Consider the following 15,610-nt stretch of genomic DNA (forward strand, 5'->3'; position numbering starts at 1 on the left):
AATATTCTCATAATGTACAAACATGAAAAGCAAATGAAATAATATCTTAAGATTGGAGATATGTTGGATAAGACCAATAACTTTTGACTAGTTTTGTAATAAACGAAATTATTGTAACTATGTTTTGAAATACGCAACAGAAATAATTTAAAACATTTGAAAAATTCTTATCGTGGAAATATCATATCTAAATATTGGAAAGTATGGAACAGATTATGTAATACAGTGACGCAGTTGATTTGTATTTAAATAGATGTTATGCAACAGGCAATTATTATCAAGTTATTGGGGCTCTAATTTTCACACTTATGTTGTCTGCCATTTTCATTCATGGTAGATTGTTTCCTTGTGTGTTTTATAATTTTTTTTAATCAGCTTATTTTTACCAGCACCCCTCCAGACCCATTAGAATCTTTTGTGACTTAGGTTTTGGGGGTACCACTCTCTCCACCTCTTCATTCCTTCATTGGATTTTTCCAGTTATTCCAGGGGTATCATTGGCTGGTGTTGACGTTAATTGCTCAATTTTGGCTTTCTAAGACAAAAATAGTGTAAATATAAAAGTAATGTAAATTCATATACCAAATTTGTTTAAGATATCAACCTAGGATTTTAATTTCTTAGAGGTAACTTTTTAATCACAGACCCAGCAGTTAGAGAAGCTTTTCTATCACCTTTCTATACTATGAGCCAGTTTCTTCTAGTCTGGGGGTTGACAAGTTACAACCACTGGGTCTCCTGCATTTTTGTGAATAAAATTTATTGAAATATAGTCATGCCCATTTGTCTGTGTGTTGTCTATGGCTGCTTCTATACTACAAGGGCAGAATTGAGTAGTTGTCACTCAATTCAACATATATAGTTCTGCAAAGCTGAAAATATTTACCATTTGCGAAGCTGAAAATACTTACCATTTGGCCCTTTGCAGAAAAAGGTTTCCAACCCTTGCTTTAGTCCTTCATTTCCACTGAGGATGTTGCTCTTTGAGCATCCAAGTTAAGGGTCTCCCAATTCCTTGCCTTGTAACAGGCCAGCTTTCATTTTCTATCATAGACCTCTAAGGAGGCATAAAATGTTTCTATGTGCCATGGCAATCTTTCTCAAGTGATACTTCTTTGTCCTTAGCTGTGGTGTGCCAGAAGGGCATGCTGTACCATCACTGTTCCTCGTTCTGCCTCCATTCCTGCATTTCTCTCTCTTCCCCGGAGCAGTGCAGTGATGACTGTGCTGAAGGCTGTAATTGTCCGGAAGGCAAATTCTATGAAGACACTCTTAACTTTTGTGTACCCATGTAAGTCGTAGAAACAGGTTGGCAGCATCCTGTTTTAATCTCTTTTTCTCCTTACGGGCTAAATGAGCTTTCATGGAAGTTTTTGAAAAAAATATTTCTTATTGTCTTTACTTTTTTTTTTAAAAAACCCTGCAAATGTTCATCAACAGTTACAGAAATAGCTAAGGAATCTCTGATGGTTGATCTTGAAGTGTATTCCTGCTTGCTTTTACCATAGTCAAATCAATAACAAGGTTTGTGCTTCACTGTCACATGGCAAACTTTAGTAGCAGGACTTTAATATCTCAGCACTCACAAATTTCTCAATTTACACACGAAGTAAAGCCCTTTGTCTTATATATAGTGTTAAATGATATATCAGTTATGTTTCTCTGAATTGCATTCAGTGATTTTTCTTGTGACTAAAACAACACAGTTTGTGAGTTGTATTTTAGAAAACAAAATTTGGAGCTATGCAAAACTTCATGTCTAAGCAGCTTTTGCCATTTGTGTAATAGGATTGCATGCAGTCTTGTAGAATAATGCAGACCTTAGAGTGTACCTTACAATGACCAATGGAGAGCACAAGGTCAGCTTGAATTTTAGTGGTTTTTGAAAAAAATTGTATCCTATTTACTTTACTTTTTCTTCGTATAGATTCCACTGCCGTTGTCATTATAGGGGCAGTGTTTATCAACCTGGAGAGCTCATCCCCACACCCTCGGGCTTATGGTAGGTTTCAATGATGGGGATTGTGTTTGACAAATGATGTATGTTCTAATATAATTCTTTCTTTTATATATATATATATATTTTTTTATTATACTTTAAGTTCTAGGGTATATGTGTACAACGTGCAGGTTTGTTACGTATGTATACATGTGTGCCATGTTGGTGTGCTGCACCCATTAACTCGTCATTTACATTACATTGAGTATATCTCCTAATGCTATCCCTCCCCCCTCCCCCCACCCCACAACAGGCCCCGGTGTATGATGTTCCCCTTCCTGTGTCCAAGTGTTCTCATTGTTCAATTCCCACTTATGAGTGAGAACATGCAGTGTTTGGTTTTTTTAACCCAAACTGTAAGTTGAAATATGACTTCTGTAATTAAAAAATAAAGATAACAATGTAATCTTTAAATATATTATAATCATGTGATTGTATATATATGTACAAACACATATATACATAATACATGCATATATGACATTTCAAAGTGAAATAACCAAGTTTTGTACTCATAACTGCAGAAAGGAGTTATGAATTTAAGTACCTCACAGTGAAATGAAAGTCCTTTGATCATTTTTTGTTATTAGATAGAAGTTAGGGGTGAAGTACGTGTTTAAATACAACAGTATTACTGAATAGGCTCAAAAAAAAAAGCAATTTCAAAATAGATTTGAAAAATGTCCTGCACAGTAGTAAGTGTGCCTCCTCCCCAGGCCCATCAATACTAGAAAGATAACACTTAATCATAGGATAACACTCATTCTGGTTATAAATTTTCTGTTGAAAATCTAGGCACGTCCATGCAGCAGTCCATACTTACATATAATTCCTAACCTCCCCTTTTTAGTTGCCCCATAGGTACCAACAGATAATAATAGACAGTAGATAATAACAATAATAATCATTTCTAACCATTACTGTGTACCTTGTTTTGTGCTGGCACCATTCTAAGTGTTTAATATCTATTATTAAAATACTTACTCATCACCATAACCCTAAGAGATAGGCAATGTTGTTTTATCCTGATTTACAGGTGAGGAAAATGGGATACAGGTGGCTAAGGAACCTGATACTAAAGCTGGGAGTTAGTCCCAGGCAACCTGGCTCGGCAGTGCTTGTCTCCTGCCTACTTTGCTCTGCAGCTGATTTTTGTATTCACAGCAGAATATTGATTATGCTCAATTTACCTTTGTCTTTATCTCCACCTTTTTTCCTATCCACATCAAGACACAGTGGCAACTAGCTCTTGGATCTTTCTGTGGTACGCAGTACTATTATTCACACAGTTTCCCAAGCCAGAGCTCCAGGAATCATTTTCGACTCTTTCCTCTTGCTCAAAACACCTAATCAGTAAATACCCAGCAACTTTGGATTTTACTTGATTTTACTTTCTACGCGTAGTCAAAAGCCATTTCTTCCTTTCCATCATCACTGCTTTAGCAATCAGTGTGTCTCATTTTCTCTTCCCTGGACCTTCCTCTCTGGTGTTCTTGCCTCTAGTTTTTCCCCTCTTTCATTCTGCCGAGGTGTCCTGTCTTTTTGGATTTAACATGATTAATGTATGTAAACTTAGCAAAAAAAAAAAAAAGTAACCATCCCTCCTCAATGAAAAAAAATCAAAATTCACTTAATATAGTGACTTTGTTAGCCATTCCTTTTTAAAAGCCTTTGTCCCAGAATAAGTATGATATGGAAGACCTGGATATGTGATCTGAGACCTGTCTGTCTCAGTTCCTCTGTGCTATTCAAAGTGTGAGCAAATTCAATCAGAAGTGACTCACTCAGTGGTGAATCACACCTCTGAGTGTTATTCTAGTGTTCAACTATGCATTGCATATTTTTTATGTGATGTGGACTGTATATGTGATTCAGCTTCTTCATCTGGGCTTAAATATAGAACATATGATCTGGTCCAAAGCTGAAAGAAAAACTGTATTGGAGTTATTGAGAACTAATGTGTTGTTTTCCATCATGTTATCTTCTTCAGGGATTTTCAAGGCTAATTTTTCCTATATGTGGCTCTTGCCTTATACTCTGACTTTAGAATGTAAGTTGCAAGGAAGCTGTGACTCCACCCTATCTTCAATGCTGCTGCCAAAATGATTCAAAGCAACCATATCACTTTTCTGCTTAGGTCTTCAATGGCTCACCTCAGGGGTAAAATCTTAGCATCTTCTAGGAGCTAGCCTCTGCCTCTTTTGGCATTCTCACAGCCTGTCCCTTCCTGCATTGCACTTTGCTATGTAGAATGCTGCTTTACTTCTTCATGGTTTATGTGTTTCCACTGAGTGTTATAGCCTTCCTACCTTAGGTGTGCCATAACCTCCATCCACTCTTCAAAACTGTTCAGACTTTACTTCCTTTGATTCCCTGATGTTGGTTGCCAACAGATTTTAAAAACATTTTTTCTTTGTTTTACTTCTATCTCTTAACATATTTCTATGTTGCATGTGTCACACTGCATACATTATTTATTTGTGTGTCTTCCCCTTCTGTGAGACAAATTATGGTAAGAACTATGAATTTTGATGTTCATGTCTCCCATGCCTATCCCAATGCTCCACACTTATAGGTGTTTGATAAAAAGTGTTGTGTTGAAATAGCGTTCCTGAAATTGGACCTAACCCAACAGCTTGTAAAAACTTCTGTGGGAAAAATAACATTTGTATAATGTACTCAATCAATTCTTGTACGTTAGATTGTTGTCGAAATTCAGGGAAAAAAAAAAAAACAACAGATTTGGTTCCATAAATTAACTATTTATTTACTTCTAGCCAGTGTTCAAATGGGACTGTGAAATGTGATGAATTAGCAACGCCCTCTGCTGGTAAGATCTTAAAAGATGTTTTCCTGAATGAGGGTTCAGCTCTGATACCACCTCCACTCCTGGCAGAAGTCATCAATCACCTCTTCTTCCCAATGTGCATGGCTATAGCCTTGGGAATGTTCTTCAACATGGTGTTCCAGTGCTTCTTAACTTTTTCCACATTGAAAATTATAATATTTTTAGGACAGTCTGGGTTGAACATATAAGTCAGCTCAGGGGCGGAGCAGGTCAACCCAGGGATGCTGCCTAGATGCTGCCTACCACAGGACCACCTCAGGCATCCCAAGGACTTTAGGGATATGTATCTAGGCAAGTGTTGTAACCCATTTGTGGGACAGAAATTGGGAAAATCTATTTTAGACCTTCACTTCTCAGATTTTAGTGTGCACATATGGGGATCTTGTTAAAATGCAGATTCTGATTCATTAGGTCAGGGGTGATACCTGAAATTCTACATTTCTATCAGTGACCAAGATAACATTAATACTTCTGGTTCCTGGGCTGCATTATGAGTAGCATGGCTCTGGGACTAGTAGCAATAAATTTAACAATGCATGTAAAATGACATCCACTGTTATCCCTTCAGAATGTCATTTTAAATACCTTTCCTAAGATCTTATGTATTAGGACCATATATATTATTTATTTTCATCATATAAAGAGCCTCAAATTCTCAGTTACTATGGGCAAATTCTAGGCACATAATAAACAATACTTGCTTTCATAGATTTTAATGGGCAGGAAGAGTGTAGGCTAATAAAAGTAATTGTAAGCTATTATTGCTTTGTTATGTATTTGAATGGCCTGGTATATATTATTATTAAAGAGCTTTGAATTACATGCCCTGAATTTACTTTACAAGGATTCAGACAAGCCTAGGGCTTCTTTACAAGACATGTTTATGGACCACACACATTCGGTAGCTACAGGGCCATCCTGACTCTGCCCCATTTCTTTCAGGGTGACTCGCCCCCATTTGATTCAATGAAGGGAAGCCCAGGTGGCTAGCCTTCTCACAGAGGAACCCACGGGATTTTATCCCTTTGGCCCCACTTGAGGCAATTTATTTGATCTCTAAGAGCCCAAAAGCTTTCTGGAAGAATATGGAGCCCCTGTCCTGACTATAGTTATGTCTACTTCTGCACTTCTGTGGTATAGTGAGAACTGATATAAACAATGACTTGAGGTGAAGCAAGATTTAGAATAATCGTGTGTTCATTGTAGCTTTGTAAAAGCCACAATGCTTTTACATTATGCTTAAAAATTGATAACATATGCTGAAAAATTGATAATATATGTATGAATTAATAAAAATATCTTGTTTTTTGACTTCAGAAAATTATATTCTAGTTAGTTACTGTCTTATGGAAGGCAGCTAACATTCTCAAACTCAAAATAGGTTTAGAATAAACCTATTTTATGAATTTTGGTGTTCATATCTCCCATGCCATGACAAAAAGTTAAGGACATTTTGTCTGTGCTTATATCTGAAGTTCACATCTGCCCAGAGGGAAAAGAGTATTTCGACTGCAGGTTTCCTGACCCTGAATTACCAGCTGGTGGTGTTAATTGTGAGACTACATGTGCAAACCTAGCCATGAACTTCACCTGCACCCCATCCTCACCCTGTATAAGTGGCTGTGTTTGTGCTCCAGGGTAAGCCTCTTCTTCATAATACAGAACATTCAGGATTTGCCTGAAAGCACAATATCTCCTGAAAACATTCTTTATAGAAATAGCCAGAATTGTTGTTCTGACTAGTGGTTAACTGGGTTGGTAGCTAGAAGACTATTGTGATTGTTTTGCTTGGCTCATGTGACATTGTGAAATATTATTAATGTAATACACTGAATTGAGGAGAAAACTCATTTCTGGATGAAGCTGGAATTTCTCCCCTGATGAAACTGCAATTTTGAGAAAGTGACACAATTAATCACTCTTCATTCAAAACACTCTTCAAGTGCATTTTTAAATATTCTGTTGTGCAGTTACTGGTATTGATGTGAAGTTGTAATAGTGATGCCAACTGTTTTATCTTAAAGAAAATAGTGTATTGAGGCTACAAAGGGCAGTGGGTAAGAGTGGGAGCTCTGGCATCAGACACACCACTGCTCAAATCCCAGCCCTGACACTGTTAGTGGAGTGATTTTTCTGCAAGTTCTTTTTAAGCCTCAATTAGGCATTGTGATGTGTGTGTGTGTGTGTGTGTGTGTGTGTGTGTGTGTGTGTGTGTGTATTTAAAAATATGAGCCACTATTTTGTGGCAGCATATATTCTACTCCTATCTTCATAAATATTCTTCCATTGCAGAAATGCCTAGTGCACGTGAAAGACAAACACAGAATCTTGTGGCTATTGGCTTCCTCACAGGCACACATATAATCTGGCCTCCCTGGCCCTCCCTCTTCTGGTAATGAAATAGAGGCTGTGCAGAGGGAGTGCCATCTAAGGCAAACAGGTCACCCATTCTTCCTCAATGAACATGTTCACACAAAGGGATTCCTGGGATCAGCTCATATAAACCAGGGGCAAAGAAGAGCGAGGTCTTGTGGTTTGTTTCCCAGGAGAATCGCATTTGTCTAAATGGCCCCCATCTGGAATAGGTTGAAGAGCCAAGTAACTTGGAACTGGCATTAATCTCTTTAGAAAGAAAGGACATAGGAGGCAGAGACAAGAAGGTCACAAAAGAACAAGTGCCTGTGGCTGGGAAAATAAAGACAGGTAGAAATAAGGCCATAGAGCAGATAAGCAAGAAAGACATTTTAGTAAAAAGGAGAAGGGAAATAGAATAATTAAAACCCACAACATTGCTTGATTTATTTGATTTGATTGTGACTCTTAGGAATGCATGGCTAATTAAAGCCATATCCTAATTTTGTTTTATATGCTGTGCTTGAGCTATTATCTTTTAAAATATATTTACTGTCACCTTTGATATTTAGTTGGACAGTGATTTATTTACTGGCTAAATCTCATTACAAAACGTTAAGGAGATTTCCTCCTACCTTCTCTGACTGTATTGAAATAAATGTGGGTGGAATTGACTTAGAGGCCTCTGACAGATTTGGAAATATTTTATTAAGATAGCCTTCTCCTACAATATTGTTTATGGTAATGTGATTTGCCCTGTCTTCTATGTGACCTTGTCTGGCTCATTTTGGCAAAATAGTCCAGTGTGACTTGTTTCATGTGGCTCCTAACAGTGCCAGCAGTTTATTGACTGTAAAAGGACCACATAACCCTAATTGAGAAATCACTGTGGATTGAAGAAATGGAGAATAGTATAGAGGAAAAGTCAGATGGAAATGGCTTCTATGCTGGCCCTCCTTATAAGCCGAAGTACCTCATGGCAAGTTACTTAACCACTTGAAATCTCAAGTTTCTCTTTTAATAATGGATATAACACTATATTTACTTCTTGGATGATTGAGTATATGCTGCACACCAGTTATATAGTAAGAGCTCAGCAAATGTTTATTTCTTATCCCACTGCCCAAACTTGCTTAAAGCAGATACAAGCATACTTTGTTTCATTGTGTGTTTTGCTTTATTGCACTTCACAGGTGTTGCATTTTTTACAAATTGAAGGTGTGTGGCAACCCTGCATCAAGCAAGTCTGTTGGTGCCATTTTCCAACAGCATGTGCTTACTTGGTGTCTCTGTGTTGCATTTTGGTAATTTTTGCAATATTTCAGAACTTTTTCATTATCATTATATCTGTTATGGTAATCTGTAAACAGTGAACTTTGATTATTATGTAATTATTTCAGGGTTCCACAAATGGTGCCCATATAAGATGGAAAAATTAATTGATGAATGTTGTGTGTGTTCCGATTTCTCCATGTATAGGCCATTCCACCATCTCTCTTGCTCTTCTCAGGTCTCTCTATTCCCTGAGACACAATACTGAAATTAGGCCAATTAATAACTCTACAATAGTCACCAAAAGTTCAAGGGAAAGGAAGAGTCACACATCTGTCACCTTAAATCAAAAGCTAGAAATGATTAGATTTAGTGAGGAAGGCATATTGAAAGCTGAGATGGGCTACAAGCTAGTCCTTTTGCAACAGTTAGCCAAATTGTGAATGCAAAGGAAAAGTTCATGAAAGAAATGAAAAGTGCTACTACTCCAGTGAACCCACAAGTGGTAAGAAAGCAAAGCAGCTAGCTGTTATGGAGAAAGTTTTAGTAGTCTGGATAGATCAAATCAGCTGCAACATTCACTTCTGCAAAGGCTTAATCCATAGCAAGGCTTTAACTCTTTTCAATTCTATAATGGCTGAGGGAGGTGACAAAGCTGCAGAAGAAAAGTTTGAAGCCAGCAGAGGTTGGCTTATGGAGTTTAAGAAAAGAAACTATCTCCATAACATAAAAGTGCAAGTGCTGATGGAGAAGCTGCAGCAAGTTATCCAGAAAATGCAACTAAGATAATTGATGAAGGTGGCTACACTAAACAATAGATTTTCAATGTAGATGAAACAGATTTATATAGGAATAAAGTGCCATCTAGGACTTTCTTAGCTAGAGAGAAGACAATGCTTGGCTTCAAAGTTTCCACGGACAGGCTGACTCTCTTGTTAGGGGCTAAGGCAGCTTGTGACTTTAAGTTGAAGCCAATGCTCATTTACCATTCAAAAAATCCTAGGGCCCTTAAGAATTATGCTAAGTCTACTCTACCTGTGCTCTGTAAATGGAACAACAAAGCCTGGGTGGCAGCACGTCTGTTTACAGCATGGTTTACTGAATATTTTCAGCCCACTGTTGAGACCTGATGCCTAGAAAAAAAATTCCTTTTAAAATATTACTACCTATTGGCAGTGCACCTGGCACCTAGGAGTTCCAGTGGAGATGCAGAAGGATATATTAATGTTGTTTTCATGCTTGCTAACACATTTATTTTGCAGCCATTGATCAAGTAGTAATTTCAACTTTAAAGTCTTATTATTTAGGAAATACATTTCACAGGGCTATACCTGCCATAGATAGTGATTTCTCTGATGGATCTGGGAAAAGAAAATTGAAAATATTTTGGAGAGTATTCACTATTCTAAATACCATTAAGAACATTAGTGATTCATGGGTAGAGGTCAAAATATCAACACGAACAGGAGTTTGAAAAAAGTTTATTCTAACCCTCACGGATAACTTTGAGGGTTTTAAGATGTCAGTGGAGGAAGTAACTGCAGATGCAAAGGAAATAGCAAGAGAACTAGAATTAGAAGTGAAGCCTGAAGATATGACTGATTTGCTTCAATCTCATGATAAAACTTGAATGGACGAGGAGTTGCTTCTTATAGATGAGCAAAAAAAGTGGTTTCTTGAGATGTGATCTATACTTGGTGAAGATGCTGTGAACATTGTCAGAATGATAATAAAAGATTTAGAATATTGCATAAACTTAGTTGATAAAGCAGTGGTAGGGTTTAAGACGACTGACTGCAATTTTGAAAGAAAATTTTAGGTAAAACACTATCAAATGCATTGAACACTACAGAGAAATCTTTTGTGAAAGGGGGAGTCAATCAATGTGGCAAACTTCACTGTGTCTTATTTCAAGAAATTGCCACAGATATCCCAGCCTTCAGCAACCACCACCCTGATTAGTCAGCAGCCATCAACATTGAAGCAAAACCCTCCTTCAGCAAAAAGATTATGGCTCCTTGAAGGCTCAGATGATCATTAACTTTTTTTTTTTGCAATAAAGTATTTTTAAATTAAGGTATGTATATTTTTTAGATATAATGCTATTATGCATTTAATAGACTATGCTGTAAATATAACTTTTATGTGTACTAGGAACCAAAAAATCTGCTTTATTGACTTGCTTTATTGTGATATTAACTTTATTGCTGTGGTCTAGAACCAAATTAACAATATCTCTGAAATACACCTATAATTTACAGTGATTTAAAGTTTTCCTTTTCCTTCTTCCAGTTTTGAGTAGTTATGAAAAACTCATCAGTCATTAATTAGCAATGCCAGTTAAAACCATGACTTTGGCTGGGGATATAAGAATTGTGGTTCATTTTGGTGAGGTTTCCCTCACTTAAACAACTGAACAATTAAAGTTTATGAAGAGTCTAATGTTTGAGGCATTGTGTTAAGCTATAGGAATGGGGGGTACTAAAATACATTTATTAGATAATAATAGAATCTACCTTAGGGGACTGTCACTAGGATAAGATCAGTTAGGGGCATAGTTAAAATGGTTAGAATAGTGCCTTGCCATAGTAAGCAGTCAAGAATATTAGTTTTGTTATTGTTCTTATAGTTCTTATTGTTCTTATAGTTATTGTCACTATAAGCTATTTAATGAAGTACTTAACAGTTCATTGTGATAAATCCTCCAATAAAAGTTTATAAAGTTGCTAAGTATAGGGAGTATGTGAAGGAGCTGGGGACATAAAAGATTGCATCGAATTGAGTTGTAAGTGATAAGTTTGCCAGAGAGAACATAGGAGAAAAATTTTCTAGGAAGAAGAAAAATTCAAAGCTCAGGATGCATAGCTAGAAGTTTGGGAGGGCCAAGGTGACAGACTGTAGAATCGAGGTCATTGTTGGTCGGAAAGAAAGAAATCTAAGTGAGATAATGCATCATTTATATAAATACGTTTCTTCAGTTGTCTTCTATGCGCTACATATTGTGTGACATGAACATAAACAAGATATTTATGGTCCTCTCAAGTGAAGCTGAAAGTCTAGTGGACAGCATATACACTGAATAAGGAATTACAGTACTGTGTACGAACAGCCATGAGAGAGAAAGCAGAGAGCTAAAACAACATGAGAAATTATTTCTGTTTTAGAGAAGAGGCAAGAATTCAGGGTTCCTGAATTCCATGTTAATTTTTATAATCTTGAATTTTTATAATCTTGAATTTTTATATTTTAAAGCAAAATGTAAAAAAAGTTTTATACCTTATCTATTTTAGGAGCTTTTAATTTTTATTTATTTATTATTTATTATTTGTTATTTAAGTAAATTAAATTATAGATTAATTCATAATAAAAAATTATTTAAATAATGACAACTAATTTTCAAATTTAATGTTTTTATCTTTATTTTATATATTTATTATATTTATAATTAATTACAAAATTATTGTTCTATTATTATTTTGTTAACACTTCTAGAAAAAAATCTTTATTAAAACTTTTAGAAAAAATTGTAAGAATATTGAAATATATATTTATATTAAATGATTTGATGTTATATGTAATATATATTTAATCTTCATATCAAATATTTAGATAACACACCAAAATTAATTCTTACCCGAGATTAGTTCAATTTTTATATTAAAACTTTATACTTAATTATATATATTTAAATGATATATTAATATATAACATTTGTATGTGTTTAACTTTTATAGCCATAGACATTTTTAGACACTTTCAGCGTATAATCTTTCAAGAAGAAAATAACACTTGAAGGAAAACCAACATTCAAAAGTTATCACATTAAATAAATAAGAAACAATGTGAAACACTTAATATGTTTTTTAGTTCCACACACACCTAAGTTAAACTCTCCTGCTTTCAACTTTAAACACTCAGAAAGAAGCTTTTGATTACTCTCTATATCTTGTAACAAAAATGTTAACCATTTAATAATTTACTATTTCATCAGAAAATTGTAGGCCCTATAGACTCTTTTAAGTAGCAGATATTGAAGAACGGGACTCTCATTTCCTCTATAAATTTTTTTTCGGGATGACTCACTTTATTAGAAATTTAGGCTTCTGTCTTCCTTTCATGCACTTAGTGAATAGCAAAAAGGTCAACATATCACATCTAGTCATTTGCCTGGCATTTAGTACTGCGATATGTAAGGTACTATGTGGAAAAAGCGAGGAGAAAGACTGGATTCATCTCCTCAGTAGGTTAGATAGAGTGCCTTAGACAGCTCTAATAAATATAGATGACAGTGTTAATATGCTAAGATTACTGATATTTTAAAACTGAAAACTGTAGTTCATACTAAATAGCATTTTATTCTTCATTTGGAAGAATGGCAGAGCACAGAGGAAAGTGTTATGTTCCTGAAAGCTGCCCATGTATTTGGAAAGATTGGGAGTATCTCTCAGGAGAAGTGATTGCTACACCGTGTTACACCTGGTAAGGAGATCCATTTATTTCACAAATATTTTCCTAAGTAATTGTGTAAATTTCAATCATCTTTTATTTATTTAATGAGACTGACATCAGCAAAAAGTAAATCAAGCCTCAGCAAATAATTTAAAGGCCTGCAGGAGTTGGTGGACAGTTACTATCTGCAGGGGACTATATCATTATTTTTATGCATATTTGTTCAGCCCAGAAGAAAACTGTGAAACACAACAATCTAAAATTTTAATAGGAAAAAATATCTCATGTTTATAAGAAAGTGCTAAATGTTACAAAGAAAAGACCGTATTTAATGGAAGGTTTTCTGTTTCAAGGTAAGTCAAAAGAATACCATAAAATAAAATTTGAAATATAATTTCCCTAAAATATGGACAAAGATTCTAAACTCATGAGCAATGTCATGTCTAATGCATTTAAATTTACTCAAATATGGGAGATGGCATTGTGCTTTTTCAGCTACCAGCAGACCTGTGTTCAGTTTTTCATTCTATCATCTACTTTCTGTGTGACCTATGCACAATTCCTAGGCTCGGTTTTGGTGTCTGATAATTTATTTAAAGGAAGTGAAAAACGTATGCCTAATTTGTCAATGTAATAGGTGGTATCAGAATGAACTGGCAATATTCGTAAGGGATATTGACTCATGAATTCTCTTGAATACAGACATTCCAATGTTGCTGTCACTTGAAATCACTAGTTAGAGTCGTTTCTTTAGAAAGGTAACTTTTGTTATTTTTTAATAGCGTTTGTCGACGAGGAATGTTCAATTGCACATATTATCCATGCCCAGCAGTGTGCACAATATACGGGGACCGACATTATTATTCTTTTGATGGACTAGAATATGACTATATCAGTGATTGCCAGGTGTTTTTGATAAAGGTAGGTCACAGTTACACATTTTTATTTGCATTCGTGTAAAGATTTAATGTAAAAAACAAGTATGCTGGTCCCTGATATATCAAATTCATGTGTTATTTATAAAACCTATAAAACAATTATATATATTTTCAACTTTTATTTCAGGTTCGGGGGTACTTGGGAAGGTCTGTTAATGTGGGTATATTACATGTTGCTGGGGTTTGGTGTACAAAGAATTTCATCATGCAGGTAGTAGCATAGTACCCAATAGATAGTTTTTTGACCCTTACCCTCCTCCCATCCTTCACCCTTAAGTAGTAGGCCCCAATGTCTATTATTCCCCTCTTTGTTTCCATATATACCCAATGTTTAGCTCCCACTTATAAGTGAGAACATGCGGTATTTGGTTTTCTGTTCCTGTGTTAATTCACTTATGATAATGGTCTCCAGCTGCATCCATGTTGCTGCAAAAGACATTTCTTTCTTATGGCCATGTAATATTCCATGGTGTATATGTACCACATTTTCTTTATCCTTTCCACTGTTGATGGGCATTTAGGTTGATTCCATGTCTTTGCTATTGTGAGTAGTGCTGCAATGAATGTATGCATACATGTGTCTTTACGGTAGAATGATTTATATTCCTTTGGGTATATACACAATAATGGGATTGCTGGGTTGACTGGTAATTCTGTTTTAAGTTTTTTAAGAAATTGCCACACTGCTTTCTACAGTGGCTAAACTAATTTACATTCTCACCAGCAGCATATAGCAGTGTATAAGCATTCCCTGTTCTTCGCAACCTTGCCAACATCTGTTTTTTTTTGACTTTTTAATAATAGCCATTTTGACTGCTGTGAGATGATATCTTATTATGGTTTTGATTTGCATTTCTCTAATAATTAATGATGTTGAGCATTTTTTCATATGCTTGTTGGCTGCATGTATGTATTCTTTTGAGATGTGTCTGTTCATGTCCTTTGCCCATTTCTAATGGGGTTGTTTTGTACTTATTGACTTGTTTAAGTTCCTTGTAGATTCTGGTTATTAGGCCTTTGTAGGGTGCATAATTTGCAAATATTTTCTCCCATTCTGTAGGTTTTCTGTTTATTTTGTGGACATTTCTTTGGGTGTGCTGAAGCTCTTTAGTTTAATTAGGCCCCACTTGTCAATTTTTGTTTTTGTTGCAATTGCTTTAGGTGTCTTTGTTATGAAATCTTTGACAAGGCCTACATCCAGAATAGCATTCCCTAGGTTTTCTTCTAGGTTTTTTATGATCTTAGGTCTTACTTTTAAGTCTTTAATCCATCTTTGGTTGATTTTTGTATTTAATGCAAGGAAATGTTCCAGTTTCAACCTTCTGCATATGGCTAGCTGGTTATCCCAGCAGCATTTATTGAATGGAGAATCCTTTCCTCATTGCTTATTATTGTCAGCTTTGTCAAAGATCAGATGGTTGTAGGTATGTGGCTATGTTTTTGGGTTCTCTAACCTGTTCCATTGTGTCTGTTTTTGTGCCAGTACCATGCTGTTTTGGTTGTTGTAGTCTTGTAGTATAGTTTGGAGTTGGGTAGTTTGATGCTTCCAGCTTTGTTCTTTCTGCTTAGGAATGGCATTGAATTTGTAGATAGCTTTGGGAAGTATGGCCATTTTAACAATATCGATTCTTCCTACTCATGAGCATAAAATGTATTTCCATTTGTTTGTGTCGTCTTGATTTCTTTCAGCAGTGTTTTGTAATTCTTGTTGTAGAGATCTTTCATTTTCCTGGTTAGCTGTATACCTAGGTA

General features: G+C 35.5%; 1 protein-coding gene across 7 annotated transcripts in view; it reads left to right on the forward strand.

The window, feature by feature from the left end:
* The window catches only part of OTOGL (otogelin like), a 281,344-nt gene that overhangs the window by 165,789 nt on the left and 99,945 nt on the right, over positions 1–15,610 (forward strand). For all 7 annotated transcript variants that reach the window (NM_001368062.3, NM_001378610.3, NM_001378609.3 and 4 more), the window contains 6 exons: positions 1,126–1,291; positions 1,928–2,002; positions 4,777–4,829; positions 6,323–6,485; positions 12,843–12,950; positions 13,703–13,841. In NM_001368062.3, coding sequence (NP_001354991.2) covers positions 1,126–1,291; positions 1,928–2,002; positions 4,777–4,829; positions 6,323–6,485; positions 12,843–12,950; positions 13,703–13,841 — 704 coding nt within the window. The remainder of the gene's footprint in view (positions 1–1,125; positions 1,292–1,927; positions 2,003–4,776; positions 4,830–6,322; positions 6,486–12,842; positions 12,951–13,702; positions 13,842–15,610) is intronic.

The sequence above is a fragment of the Homo sapiens genome, chromosome 12 (genome assembly GCF_000001405.40).
Source record: "Homo sapiens chromosome 12, GRCh38.p14 Primary Assembly".
NCBI lineage: Eukaryota > Metazoa > Chordata > Mammalia > Primates > Hominidae > Homo > Homo sapiens.